Source organism: Homo sapiens, chromosome Y (genome assembly GCF_000001405.40).
Source record: "Homo sapiens chromosome Y, GRCh38.p14 Primary Assembly".
Taxonomy (NCBI): Eukaryota; Metazoa; Chordata; class Mammalia; order Primates; family Hominidae; genus Homo; species Homo sapiens.
This window is the reverse complement of record NC_000024.10, coordinates 9,905,164-9,918,779: the sequence shown is the minus strand read 5'-3', so window position 1 is coordinate 9,918,779 and position 13,616 is coordinate 9,905,164. Positions and strand designations below refer to the sequence as shown.

At 46.1% G+C, this 13,616-nt stretch overlaps 1 long non-coding RNA gene and 1 pseudogene across 1 annotated transcript; one reads left to right on the top strand and one right to left on the bottom strand.

The window, feature by feature from the left end:
• Positions 1 to 6,817: 6,817 nt before the first annotated feature.
• On the bottom strand, positions 6,818 to 7,982 carry TTTY23 (testis expressed transcript, Y-linked 23). The gene is made up of 3 exons (NR_001540.1): positions 7,926 to 7,982; positions 7,667 to 7,812; positions 6,818 to 7,126 (listed from the first exon to the last, which is right to left on the bottom strand). It is a non-coding gene; the product is annotated as a testis expressed transcript, Y-linked 23 (long non-coding RNA).
• On the top strand, positions 10,595 to 13,323 carry TSPY13P (testis specific protein Y-linked 13, pseudogene; annotated as a pseudogene).

The following is a 13,616-nucleotide window of genomic DNA, read 5'->3' as shown; positions in this document are numbered from 1 at the left end:
AGCTGGTCCCTTATGAGGGCTGAGTAATGAAGAAGACCCTGGGATGGAAGAGAAGCATGTTTGGAAAGAGAATAGTATCCTCTCTTGAATAATAAAAAAAAATGTATTTCTCTTCACCATACTTCCCCCTCTAATCTAGGCTAAATTTGAAAACAAACAAACACAAACACCTCTTCTGTGTTTTCTATCAGGAAGTTCTGGAATTCTGCAAAAAGGGCACCTGAGCAACCAACAAGTCAGCCCTTGTGCCCAATTGTGCCCCAAGCTGAATGAATTCACTTTTTGTGTAGAGGCCAAGACAGCTGTTGGGGAGGCTGGCTGTAAGGGGACAAATTCATGGGGTATGAATGCCAGGAAGAAAGAGGAATATCTTGCACACTAAAAGTTACTTCTGGCCCTCCTTCAAAATATTGATTCATATCTTGTATCTTTGTTTCTTGCAGCGTGACTTGGGAGCACCTTTCGTATGCCATCTACAGCAAAAGGACACTTGGGTGCAAGTGGGAATCTTGAGTCACTTTGAGGAGCATTGCACAAAGCCCTGTGTCTTCAGCCAAGTGCACCCTTTTCTTTCTGGCTCCTGGGAGTGCCATGGCCTAGCCATGCACCCTGGCACCACCAGGGGCCCATGACTACCTCTGCTTCCATGTCCCTTTCAGTCTCTGCTTCTAAAGATGCCTTGACTTTTATCTCCGCTCCCACTTCCATTTGGCCACACTTCATCTCTCTGCCACAGCCTCAGAGTAAGGCTCAAAACCTTGGTAGGCAAAGCCAAAGAAGAAGGTAATTGAAATAGAAAAGAGTAGATGGAAGGAGAGAGGAGAGAAAGCTCTTCCTGAAAAATGCACAATATTTTATCTCCCAAATCATGGAAGTTATTTCCTTATGGCTTACAAAGGCATTTCATACTTGATATATTATTCAATTTCCATAGTATCCCTATAGATCATGATAGAGATCATTTAACGTGATTATTATAGTTATCTTAAATGTGTATTCTGATACTAGATAAGTAGAATGGATTGATCGATTTCTCATGGCAAAAGATGAATAGGGCTAATATTAAGACACACTCTTCTAACACAAAGACATTTCTTTACTACCACACAGTAGCTTGCATTTGTAATAGAGTTATTTTAAATTAAGTATATTTTAAGTTAAAGATATTTTGATGTTTGGAAACAGTGTAATAGTTGGTAAGTAATGAGTTTTAGGTGCTGGTGTACTAGATTGGGTTACGTTGCTATTATCAGTTTCCCCCTTCCTTTGGCTATCAGAAAACCTATCACAATATTAGCAATGGCTATTTCACATTACTGTACTTCTACTTGTTTCCTTAGAAATTGAGGGATCTCTTTTGGTCTCATGAGTTAAATGTGCACTTAGCCACAGCTATTTTATAGCTACCACCTATCGCCATAGTTACAGTGAATAATACACTTAAAACATAAAAGAGGCCATAATTATTTGCTCACATCCTCCAAAGTCTAACTCAAAGACAACTACACTTAACATCTTAGTTATGCTTCTAATTTCATCTATACTTCCTTACCCCTTCTACAGACAGGTTATCTTCAACATTTTTATCTCTCTCTCTATATATATAAACGAGCATTGCTTCAACTCAGTTTTCTGAGGAACGCTAAAATAATTTTAAAAATATGAGCTCTTTCCTGAACCTCAATCTTGAATTTTCTATTTAAACTATTGGTTTGATATCTCACTAAAATTATAAGTTTAGGAAGAAAAGCCCCCTCCATTTTAGAGACAGGTGCTTTATCTCCAAATTTTTCATTATTTATTAATACATTCAAATCATTACATTTTTTTGTTGCCTATCTACTTCAGTGATTTCTGGGTAGCTACAATCATAGATATATAAATGTTGCAATGGGGGAGAAAGCTGGGATGACTCCCAATATTTTGATTAAAGAAATTTAAGCTATGACATAAAGAAACTATGAACTCAGAAAGATAGTAAGAGGAACACTTCTTTTCAAGAAAAATGCATGAACACAAAAGACGTAGAAGTTTGTCTTTGCTGGTCATATTTAACAATGCTAATTTGGTTAGCACAAATAGGAGGGATTTAAAACTTAAAAAAATGGGCCAGGTGCGGTGGCTCACACCTGTAATCCCAGAACTTTGGGAGGCTGAGGCGGGCGGATCCCGAGGTCAGGAGATCGAGACCATCCTGGCTAACATGGTGAAACCCCGTCTCTACTAAAAAATACAAAAAAAATTAGCCAGGCACAGTGATGGACATCTGTGATCCCAGCTACTCAGGAGGCTGAGGCAGGAGAATGGCAGGAACCCAGGAGGCGGAGTTTGCACTGAGCAGAGAGCACGCCACTGCACTCCAGGCTGGGAAACAGAGTGAGGCTCCGTCTCACAAAAAAAAAAAAAAAAAAAAGATCTACAGATGGCAATTCTATTCAAATTAGCACAATTAGCTTATTTTTCTCCTCAGCTTCAGCAGATCAGATTTCTCTGCAATATGCCATGCCTTGGCAGGCTGGGATCATCAGCTGTGGCAGTCAGGTCTACAGCGGGTCCATAGTTAGCAGCTCATGGGTTCTCATAGCTGCCCACTGTGTCAGGAACATGTAAGTTTGTGCCTGCCTCTTCCCATATCCTATGATTTATGATCCCATAAGTACATTGCTGAAGGTTTCTCTGTCCTAATTCACTTCTATAATACATGAGCATCTCACTTATATGGATAACATTTTTGTTTTAGGCTAAAAAGAAATTTTGTCACAGTGTTTGGCTTATTAGTACCTCTGTTAGTCAATTCCTCTGCAATCCCCTTGTCTATGAACTCTTTATCCATAGATTTCTGATTTCTCTGAAGATGAGCTAGGGACCTTATGTATCATAAATAAAGAAATATGCTAGAAAGCCTGATGTAGGTTTAAGGTTCAGGTTTTCTAATGAATGTATTGTAATAAATCTTTGCCTATGCACACAGGAGTCCTGAAGACACTGCTGTGATACTGGGCCTGAGGCATCCTGGGGCACAACTGAGAGTTGTGAAGGTGTCTACCATTCTGCTGCATGAGAGATTCTGGTTGGTGAGTGGAGCAGCAAGAAATATCCTGGCATTGCTACTCCTCCAAGATGTCCAGACTCCCATTCGGCTCTCAGCACTCCGGCTGTCTGAAGAATCTGAATAGTCCAGAAGGCTGGCTCTCTGGGGCACAAATTATTACACCAGGTCAGTGTTACTTTTTCTCACTGGGGTAGCAGTTGTAAAAAATAAATGAGATTTGTATTTTTAATATTATGTTTCAAGGAGTAACTGTAATCACAATTGTATACATTACTAATAATAAGATGTTTAATCCACACAAGAGACCCACTAGGAAATGTGTTTTTGTTTTATAAGATGATGGTTCTGATGATAACTTCACAAGATTTTAGATCTGAAAACATTTATATGAGGATCTTTCTCTGTACAGTCAATTTTATAAACCAAAGTAGACATGATTGGTTTTCCAACTCTTTGCTAACTTCAAAACAAAGGAAAAAGAAGGTTTTTTGATTTGTTTTCTTTTTACCTCTTTATGAAAATGAAGCTGAACTTGACTTGGCATTTGGAATTTCTTAAGTAAAATTTACTTGTTACTTTTGAAGAGTGGCATTTAAAAAGTGATTAAAGAATGACAATGTTGTCCACAGTGGCTCAATCCTATATTTCCAGCACTTTGGGAGCTTCAACCAGGAGAATGTTTTAGGCCCAGGAATTTGATACCCAGTTGGGCAATAGAGCAAGACTTCATCACTAAACAACAACAACAACAAATAGCTTGATGTGGTGTTGCACACATGTAGTCCCAGCTACCTGGGAGGCTGAGAGAGGAAGATAGCTTGAGCCCAGGAGGTTGAGGCTGCAGTGTGTGAAGATGGTGCCAATGCACTCCAGCCTGGGTGACCAAGCAAGAACTTGTCCAAAAAAAGGTTTGGGAGCTGGCATGGTGGCTCATGCCTGTAATCCCAGCACTTTGGGAGGCTGAGGCCAGTAAATCACCTGAAGTCAGGAGTTTAAGACCAGTCTGACCAACATGGGGAAAACCCATCTCTACTAAAAATACAAAATTAGCCAGGAGGGGTGGTGTGTGCCTGTAATCCCAGCTACTCAGGAGGCTGAGGCAGGAGAATTGCTTGAACCCAAGAGGCTGAAGTTGCAGTGAGCTGTGAGCAGGCCACTGCATTCCAGACTGAGTGACAAAGTGGAACTGCATCTCAAGAAAAATAAAGGTCAATAGAAAGATAATAAAATATATAAATGTGTGATGTAAAATTTAATGGTGATAAAATAAACTGAATTTCTCTGTGTAAGTTACACATACAAATGTAATGACGAGACAGTGATAAGACAAATCAAGGTTTTATCTCAATACTTAGTGTCTACATGTAACATATGTTCTTTAGGATAGTTATAGTCCATTTTCTTTCCAGGAGAGACTGATGAGAATGCAGAAATGTTAAAGCACAAGTGATGGAAGCTTCCAGCTGTGCCCACCTGTAACCTGACATAGACAGTTCCATTGTTTGCTTCATTACTCAGGTCAAAGACATTAATGCAAATGTGGTACACAGTCAAATTCTTTTCTATCTACATGATAGAAACTATAACTTTGTCCCTGTATAGAAGGGTATACAGCATATGCCTAAATGATAAATATAAGTGAATCATTGATCAGTAGGAAACCATTTTAAAAGTCTTTAATTACAGAACAAAATCTCTGAAAAATTTTATTGTCAATCTGAGTTTTCTTACATGAGTTATTAATCTCTAGCCATACTAAAGAGATAGTATGCTGTTCTTCAAACAAATTAGACATTGTATATAAAACGACTCCAACATTTTTCTATTTCTCCAAGTAAAATAACTTGTTTAAGGTATGCTCTTCAGTGATTTTTTTGTAGTAACACTTTTGAAGGTATTTTACCAGGAAGATTTACTTATGTACTTATCTGATGTCTGCCTTTCTTCTGAATACATATTTTATCACCCACTTATTAATTCTAAGTTTAAGAAGTTGGAATAGGGATTTAAATCCAAATTCTACGTTTGAATTTACAGGAGTCAGTGAGTCCAGAAAATGTCATTATGCGCAGACCAATATCTGGCAATGGCACTAGGGGACAAATATGCTTTACCAGTCTCAAAGCCCTAGCTACTACAGTGAGTCCACACTTCTCCTGTATCTTATCTGCTTCAGCAAAAGAAGGCCACCACTAAATCAGGCCGTTGTGGCTTGGGTGGAAACTCCTAAGTCCTCTACTCTCCTTAAAGAGCCAACCACACTGCCACTTTCCTCAATAATAATTACTGCAGCTCTGAGACTTTGGTAGCCTAGTGACTATAACTATTGATGCTACAGTCTGGTCACAGTATGATAAAACACCAAAACAACAAAAACAAAAATATTGACTTAAGCCTTCTAAGATCTCTCTAAATATACCTTCATTAAATATGATCTTTTTCTACATAACAACTGCTTTCTACTTCCTGAACTAATGCATGGCCTTGGATTGCTTTCATTCTTGAAATTGATTCAAAAGTGTATATTTAACATGAAGGTGAATACAGAATTTCATGTGTCAGCAAATAAAATTTTCAAAATGATGCAAAATACAAATGTGAAATTTATTTGTGAATTTGATTATTCTTTCAGATTATATTTTCATACTTACCCCCTCGCACAATTTTTTATAACTATCTGCATGTTCTCCTCAGGTTGGGGAAAAACAGTATTGGAGTTCTTGAATAATTTATGAAAGACAGAATGACAATACTATACAAGGTTAACCTATACACAATACTGTATTTGGTGAGCGAAAATATTACATATAAAATCCTACAAAAGTATTAAGTAAATATAATACATTATTTCAATAATTATAAAATACATGTACATGAAGAAAATATAATAATGATTAAAATACATTAACAAACAAATGAGGCTGGGCGTGGTGGCTCACACCTGGAAGCCCAGCATTTTGGGAGGCCAGTGCAGGCAGATCACAGCAGTATGAGACCAGTCTGGCAAATACGGTGAAACCAGTCTCTACTAAAAATAGAAAAATTAGCAGGACATGTGCCTGTAATCCCAGCTCCTCAGAAGGCTAAGGCAGGGGAATCGTTTGAAGCTGGGAGGCAGATGTTGCAGTGAGACGAGATTTTGCCACTTAACTTCAGCCTGGATGACAGATCGAGACTTCATCTGAAAACAAACAAACACACACACCCCCCCAAAAACTAATGAATTTAAAAAAAAAATCTATGCTAGAAAAAGTGCTCAGAGGCAAACTCACATATCTAACTGAAAAAGAAAATCCTTGAAAACAAAAGTTCCAGAAGAGGCAAATAAGAAAACACAATTAACACCTTGCATATAAAGTACAAATAGTAAAGTGAAAAGAACCACAGGGGAAAAAAATTCAAAATTTACGACTAAGTACTCTAAAAGAAGCTGAAAGTCCCTCAAAAACTTTCCAGAGTCCATGTCCCTGTATTGCAAAAATGATCATAACAATTGCCAGGAGTAGAACAATAAAAATATATCTTAAAACTTGATAAACACTTCAAGTCTCTCATAATATTTATAATGGAAAATGGATCCTTCTGCAGTTTTTCCATACAATTATGAAGAAATTATTTTTCTTTGCACTTAAATTTGTTTTTTCAATATTCTAAGAAATTAACTTTTATATTAATAGTAGGTGATGTAACAAAGCAGGTCTTTATCAAGATAACTGACACTGGATGTCCATACCATTACTCAGGTGGGCCTTAATTCCCAGCCAGGTTCCCTCCCTGGACACATACTGAAGGTCCCCAGCCATTTTGCAATCTCTTCACATTTCCAGTCCTGGAGGAAGCTCTAAAATACATGTACATGGAGATAATAGAACATTTCATCACACTGGAACCCAGTGCATTCCTCCAGATTCCCTGTGAAGTGGACTGTCTTATATGGGAAGGCAGGGCAGTTGGAGTGAGGATAGCAGAGAGGATAACATATCAGGGCAGCCCGGGGTCATCAAAACAGAACATGACAGACCTGGGAGAAACATTCTGAAGGAATGTAGACTTAGATGGGCCTCAGGTGGATATCTGTGTAGAGAGGGAGAGGGTCCTGGATGAGCTCAAACTGAGTCTCAGGTGGTAGGAGGTCTCAGGGCAAGGGAGGGAGCTGGCAAGTGATGATGAGACAGCTATCCCTTAAGCTCTGCTTCTCACCCACTGATCTTAGTCACATATGCATTGTAGTGGCTTAAGGTTCCCCAATCCTGAAATGTGGGTGTTGCAGTTCACCGATGGGCCTTTCTCCCCCAACCAATGGATGGCCTGGGATTGCTCATTGCAGTTTCCTGCATGATCCTTGGGTTCTCCCTGTGGGGCACAGATCCAGGACTGAAAGACCTCTCAGTTCCCAGCCCTAGGCTGTTCCCTGGCCTCTGTTCCCTCTAAAATGCTGTCCCTCCCACCATGGAATAGAACTGCAATGGATTGAGCCATAGGCCCTGGCTGATGATCTAGGGGACTGCAGAAGTGGGTCCAGGACAGTTCATGTCACAGTTTAATGCCAATTCCCCAGAGACCAAGGAATGCCCAGCGAGGTCCTTTCCCATGATGCCCCATGGTGAACCTCACCTCAGCAATCCTACCAAAACCCGGGCAGTCATGTTCAGCCAAACAGGTGAAAAAGCTCAGGTAGGAGGTGTACTGCCTGCAGCTGGAGGCTTGACCTTCATGATCCCAGAACAACTGGACTGCAGTGGAATGAGATACCCTGTACCCTGGAGGGAGAGGAGTCAGGAAGGTTCATCCTAGACCTACCCTCCCACATACCGGCTCCCCTACCATGCTAGGAGGCACTCCTTACCGAGGATGCCAATGCAGTACTACTTACTGATCACTTCATTGTGGAAATAAAGGCTGTGACAAAAGGAAATCTTCATCTTGCTGCCGGTAACAGGGATGCCTGAGTTCCTCCACCTGCCTAACCAAGAAGGAGAAAGAGTATGGATTCAATGGGACCATTTCATCTAGCTGGGCTGAGGTGGCCTGCTAGCTGGAGTGAAGCATGAATTTCCCATTCCCAGCTTTGCAACTGAGACAACCCTGGACCCCAGGGGGACCTCAAACTGACTCAGACACTGGACCCCTCCCACAGACCCAGGCTCCCCAGCCTGACCTGCAAATCCATCACTTCATCATGGTTTCCAACCCAGGTCAACATCTGGTGTGCCAAACAATCTACATCTGGTCAAGGAGTCTCCAGATGATTCAGTGGGCAAGCCTCCTGACGCCTGCAATTCTGCAAGAGCACAGAGAATGTGGAGCAGGGATATCTCCCAGACATTTGGCCTGTCACGCTCCGATGTTGATCCTCTGTTTCTGTCTGGTGAGGAGGCAATGCCACAACTGTGGTGGTTTTTGGGGTGGCTGGACCCCGGCCAAGACGGCCTGGGCTGACCAGAGACGGGAGGCAGAAAAAGTGGGCAGGTGGTTGCAGCTGAGGGGCAGGGGCGGGGGCAGGGTGGTGTGAGGCGGCTGCTTCTCTGGGTTCATGAGCTGCAGGAGGCCTTTGCGTGCTGGGTGCTGGACATGCTCTGCTGATGTCCGGGTGTGTGGTGTCTTCTTATCCTAGTCTCCCTGAGGGGTGGACCTGTCTGCCTGAGGAAGCCCTGTAGTTAGAAGGGGCTGCAGGGTAGTTCCTGGCGCTCCCCATGGGGACTGGGTGGGTGCAAAGGAGGTTATATACGCTCAGGGGCTATAACCCTTTGGGTGCAGCGCCGGCAGGCAGAAGAAAGCATATCTGGGGAGCTAGTACCTGCCTTGTGGAGGTCGGCAGCCCCATGTACCGCTAACCCGAGTCTTAAGCACCTTGTGTTTCTGGGGCGAGCCTTCTGGAAACGGGCACTGAGAGCGGGGGTGATTCAATGGCTGGCAATGTCATGCAGACTCCCCTTCCTCCAGGACATTCCCAGGGAAACATGCCCTTTGACATTGTGCTGTGCGTGAAGGGACTCTGGCGCCGCGATTCTCCCTTGTGAGTGCTGTGCTCGGCTCCCCTTCCCTACCACGTGCTCCCAGTGCTCCCAGTGCTGCTACAAGCAAGCTGCCCTCACAGCTGCAGGAACGTGACCTCGGCTCCCATCCTGTCCCCCATCCCCTGCCTCCTGGCTCACCCCATGTGCCTCCTCCTGGCTCCTCCCCCAACAGCCCCCATGCCCCCACGAAGCCCGATGCCCATCCCCTGCTGCCAGCCATCTGGAATCGGCAGCTGCAAGGATATGGCTCTGTCCCAGAAGCCCAGGCCACAGGGGCATTCACGGAGTCTACCTCCAAGTGAAGGACCTCCAGCGAGTCCATTGATGGCCTGGGTGTGCTGGGTCCAGGGCCAAGCTGTGCCCGCTGGCCCTCCTTCTGCCACCCCACGTCAGTCTCCTCCTCAACCACCACCTCCACCTCAGCCATTATGTCTTCCACCTTCAGCACCGCCTCCTCTTCCAAGGCTGCCTCCTTGCTCTGTACCCCGGCCGTCCTCTCCAGCAGAGCCTCCAGCCTGAACACGGTGCCCTCCTGGGTGCTCCCACAGACCCTGGCCTGCACAGCCCAGCCCATCCCCGGTATCCCTATGCTCTGGGGGCTGCTCCCCAAGAGGCCCGCTCCGTGAAAGACCCACGGGCCTCTCCCTGCTGAAAACCTAGTCCCACACCTACATGGACCCAGGTTTCCTGAGGAGCCCCGCTGGGCCCGCAGATGGCCGCACTCGCCGTGGGGCTCAGGACCACAGCAGGGTCAACTGCGCATAGGAGCTCAGAAGCCAGAGGCCGAGGCCCTGTGCTTGCAGAGCCCCACCAGCAGGCACCGCAGCGGCTGCTGCGGGTGCGGGAGCCTCTGGGTCGTCAAGGCAGTGCACAACAGCGTGCGCGCAGGCCGACAATGGCCAACCCTGGCGGCTGGCCTCTGGTGTGCCCAGGGCACAGGACTAGAGGCCCTTTGGAATGCTCCTTGGAGTACAGCATCCTCAGGGAGGAAGCATGGTACTCGGAGCCTGTATTTGCCTCGACCTGCGAGAGTACATGCCAGGGTTCTAGCCTACAGTGCAGACGAATTCCACCTCTGCACAAGCAGGTGACTTTCCTCCCACATACCCGCCCCGACTCACTTCTGCTAGGCCACCCCCGCCGCCCTCGCCCCAGCAACCAGAGAAAGTTCTCCTCTGGATCTGCAATATTCCTTATGTACCATCTACCTGGCCTGCCTAATGAAGAGAGATGTTTCCTGTGTTCATGACACATAGAGATGTTCATGGCTTGCCACACTGAGGATGTCAGGGCACAGGGCTGCCATGCCCACAATTCCAAAGGCCACGCAGCCCGCGTGTGCCCGGACGCCTAGCTACCCGGCACAAGTTCCAAGGGCTTCTCGGAGGAGGCTTGGGCAGGGAAGGCGGGGGGTGGGGGGGCTGGAGATGCAGGCCCGCCAGTGGCTGTGCCGCCCAGGGAGACGCCCACCGCCCTCCCATTGATTGGCCACGACGGGAGGAAGTCGGCCTGGGTGCGGCCCCCCGGCCCTTCGCGCGCAGTCCCTTAGGGGGCGCCTGGAAGTCCGGCGCATGCGCCCTGAGGGCTCGCTGACCTACCGGGTGCCATAGAGGCTGCGGCAGGGTTCCTGTGGCTTGGGTCGGGCAGCACAGGCCTTGGTGTGTGCGAGTGCCGAGGAGGGCACCGCCTTCAGGATGGAGGCTGTACAGGAGGGGGCGGCCGGGGTGGAGAGTGAGCAGGCGGCTTTGCGGGAGGAGGCGGTGCAGCTGTTGGATGACATAATGGCAGAGGTGGAGGTGGTGGCCCAGGAGGAGGCCCTCGTGGAGGGGCAGGAGGAGGCCCAGAAGCCACAGCCTGGCCCTGGGCCCATAATCCCAGAGTCCGCCCTGGAGGAGCTGGTGGCCGTTCAGGTGGAGCTGGAGCCGGTTAATGCCCAAGCCAGGAAGGCCTTTTCTCGCCAGAGGGAAAAGATGGAATGGAGGCACAAGCCCCACCTAGACCGCAGAGGCGCCGTCATCCAGAGCGTCCCTGGCTTCTGGGCCCATGTTGTATCCTTCTCAGTGTTTTTTCTGCCTTTCCAGTTGAGAGGTGCTCTCGGGGAAGTGTAAGTGACCGATGGGCAGCTCATCGTCGATATGACTCTTTGGAGAACAAAGGGGAGTTGCCACGGACAAATGAGGCTGTAGAAAGCCGGAGCAGGCGTGGGTACTGTTTTCCTGCATGCGGCAGAGAAACCCTTGGTGATGCCGAGCAGCAGACGTTTGGGGCATCATTTGAAGAGCAGAAGCGAGTTCAGACCAGAATACGTTTTTCTGTGAATGAAGGTATTGTTAAGGGAGTGTGATTACTCCCCCTTGCTAGTCAGATCTGGGACTGGGCGTCTTCGCCTATAAGCTGATTCTGCCACTCCGCAGACACCAGCAACTCTCTGCAAATCGCACCTCCCCATGTCAGTGCAGTCAGCCTCAGAATTATACACTCTCTGCGAGCCCAAAAGACCTTAATTTAGGGGGAGGGGGAGGCAAAAGGAGGTCATACATGGAAGCAGTTCTGAGAAATCCCCTACCCCAGACTCTGGGCGCTCTTAGGCCTTCTTCCCTGTTGCTCCTAGCTTCTCCTTCCATCACATGTAAAGCCTCTTTGACCTAAATCAGATTGCAAACCACCCCCAGATGTCAGCCCTGATCACTGACCAAGATGAAGACATGCTGAGCTACATGGTCAGCCTGGAGGTGAGGCTGGGAAGACTGAGGCTAGAGGGTTTAGTAGGGGAGGGTAAAGGAAATAATTCATTCCTGTAAGCAACAGTGGGCACCTCACCCGAAAAGGTATTTAAGCTTTCTCCACCTTGTCCTGACAGATGAAAGAAGTGAAGCATCCCATTCATCTCTGCAAGATCATGTTGTTCTTTTGGAGTAACCCCTACTTCAGAATAAAGTGATTACCAAGGAATATCTCGTGAACATCACAGGTGAGAGGTGGCACCCCAGATGGGTAGTGGAAGGAAGATGATGTGTGGGTCATTGCCAACATGATCCAGGCCCCTTCCCACAAAACCCTCTCTTTGTAGCATACAGGGCTTATTCCACTCCAATTCAGCAGTATCAGGATTATGATGTTGAGCCCTATCGCTGGGGACACCACAACAGCAGCCTTAACTTCTTCAACTGGTTTGCTGACCGCAACTTCACAGGATCTAACAGGATTGCTGAGGAGAGTCCTCACTGGGAAACATTAGGAATGACCCTGGTGTGTTCCCAGCTGCTTGGGTCACCAGTCTGAGCCCTGATGAGGCCTTTCCCAATTGATTCCCCTGATAGAGCTTATGTACGGAACTGTGGCACAAACCCCTGCAATACTACATGAAGATGAAGCCACCTGAAGAGGGAACAGAGATTTCAGATGAGCCGTTAAGTTGGAACTGGAGCTATTTGGTGCCCAGGGTAAGGGGGTTGACATACCTGCCTGTTCAGGGAGCCTGGATGCTCATTTCAGAAATGTAGAAATTGAGGCTCCTTTCATACATGTAGAAATTCCTTGAGAGAAAGACAGAGAGTGACAGAATCCAGGACATTAACGGCATTGGGCTGAAAAAGGCACATTAGATACCACACTGCAAAGCAGGTTATAGCTGTGGAGTCTTAAGCCCAGGGAAGCATAGTCTATGTCCAGACTCACTGAGAAGTAAAGTTGAATCATTCACTTCAATTTGTGGCACTTGATTCCATGGCCATCAACCCCACCAGCAGCCATCCTACCAACTCCTTAAGATGGGGCTCCCTGAATGTGCCTCCTTGTTGTCCTTGCCACAAACCACAGAGGACTGTTTAGGTCATTGCATTTTGTTAAGCTATTGCCCCATCAGATTTCTGTGTGCTTTTAGTATACAATGAATCTTGTTAGCTGACTCCTGTCACAGTGAATACTGGGAATGGGGAAAATATTGCAGGGAACAGTTTGTAGCACATGGTAGGAGGAAGTTTAAGAGATCACAAATGGGGAAGGGGTAGTCTTTTCTCAGCAGGCCCTAAAATTAAAACATTTTGAAGTATGGCTCAGAGGAAATACATTTTGACACGTGTTTGTGTTTCTCTAGGGGACTCCCAGATGGTGAGTGGAATATGATGGAGCATCACACTTTACCTAATACAGCAGAACTCCTACATAGTTACTATAGTATGCAGGACGTCAGTACTCAACATGGTCTTATGCCCAAGAACTAAAGGAAAAACAGATCCAGTCACAGAAAATCAGACAGGTTTAAACTACCAACCGTGTGTCTGTATTTGCGTATATTTATTTCTCTGTATGGGTTTGTCTCTATTCTCTGACTCCACCTATGTCACTCTGTCTGATATGTTTCCACACTGCCCATGGTAATTTGTACACGCCTATCTCTACAACCATGCTCGACTTTGTATCTCTGTCTTTGAACATCTATCACTCTCTCTCCCTTTCTTCATTGCTTTCCTTCCTTCACACCCTTCCTTTCTTCCTTCCCTTCCTTCCCCACCACCGTCTCTCCATCTGTATCATCTGTCTTCCTA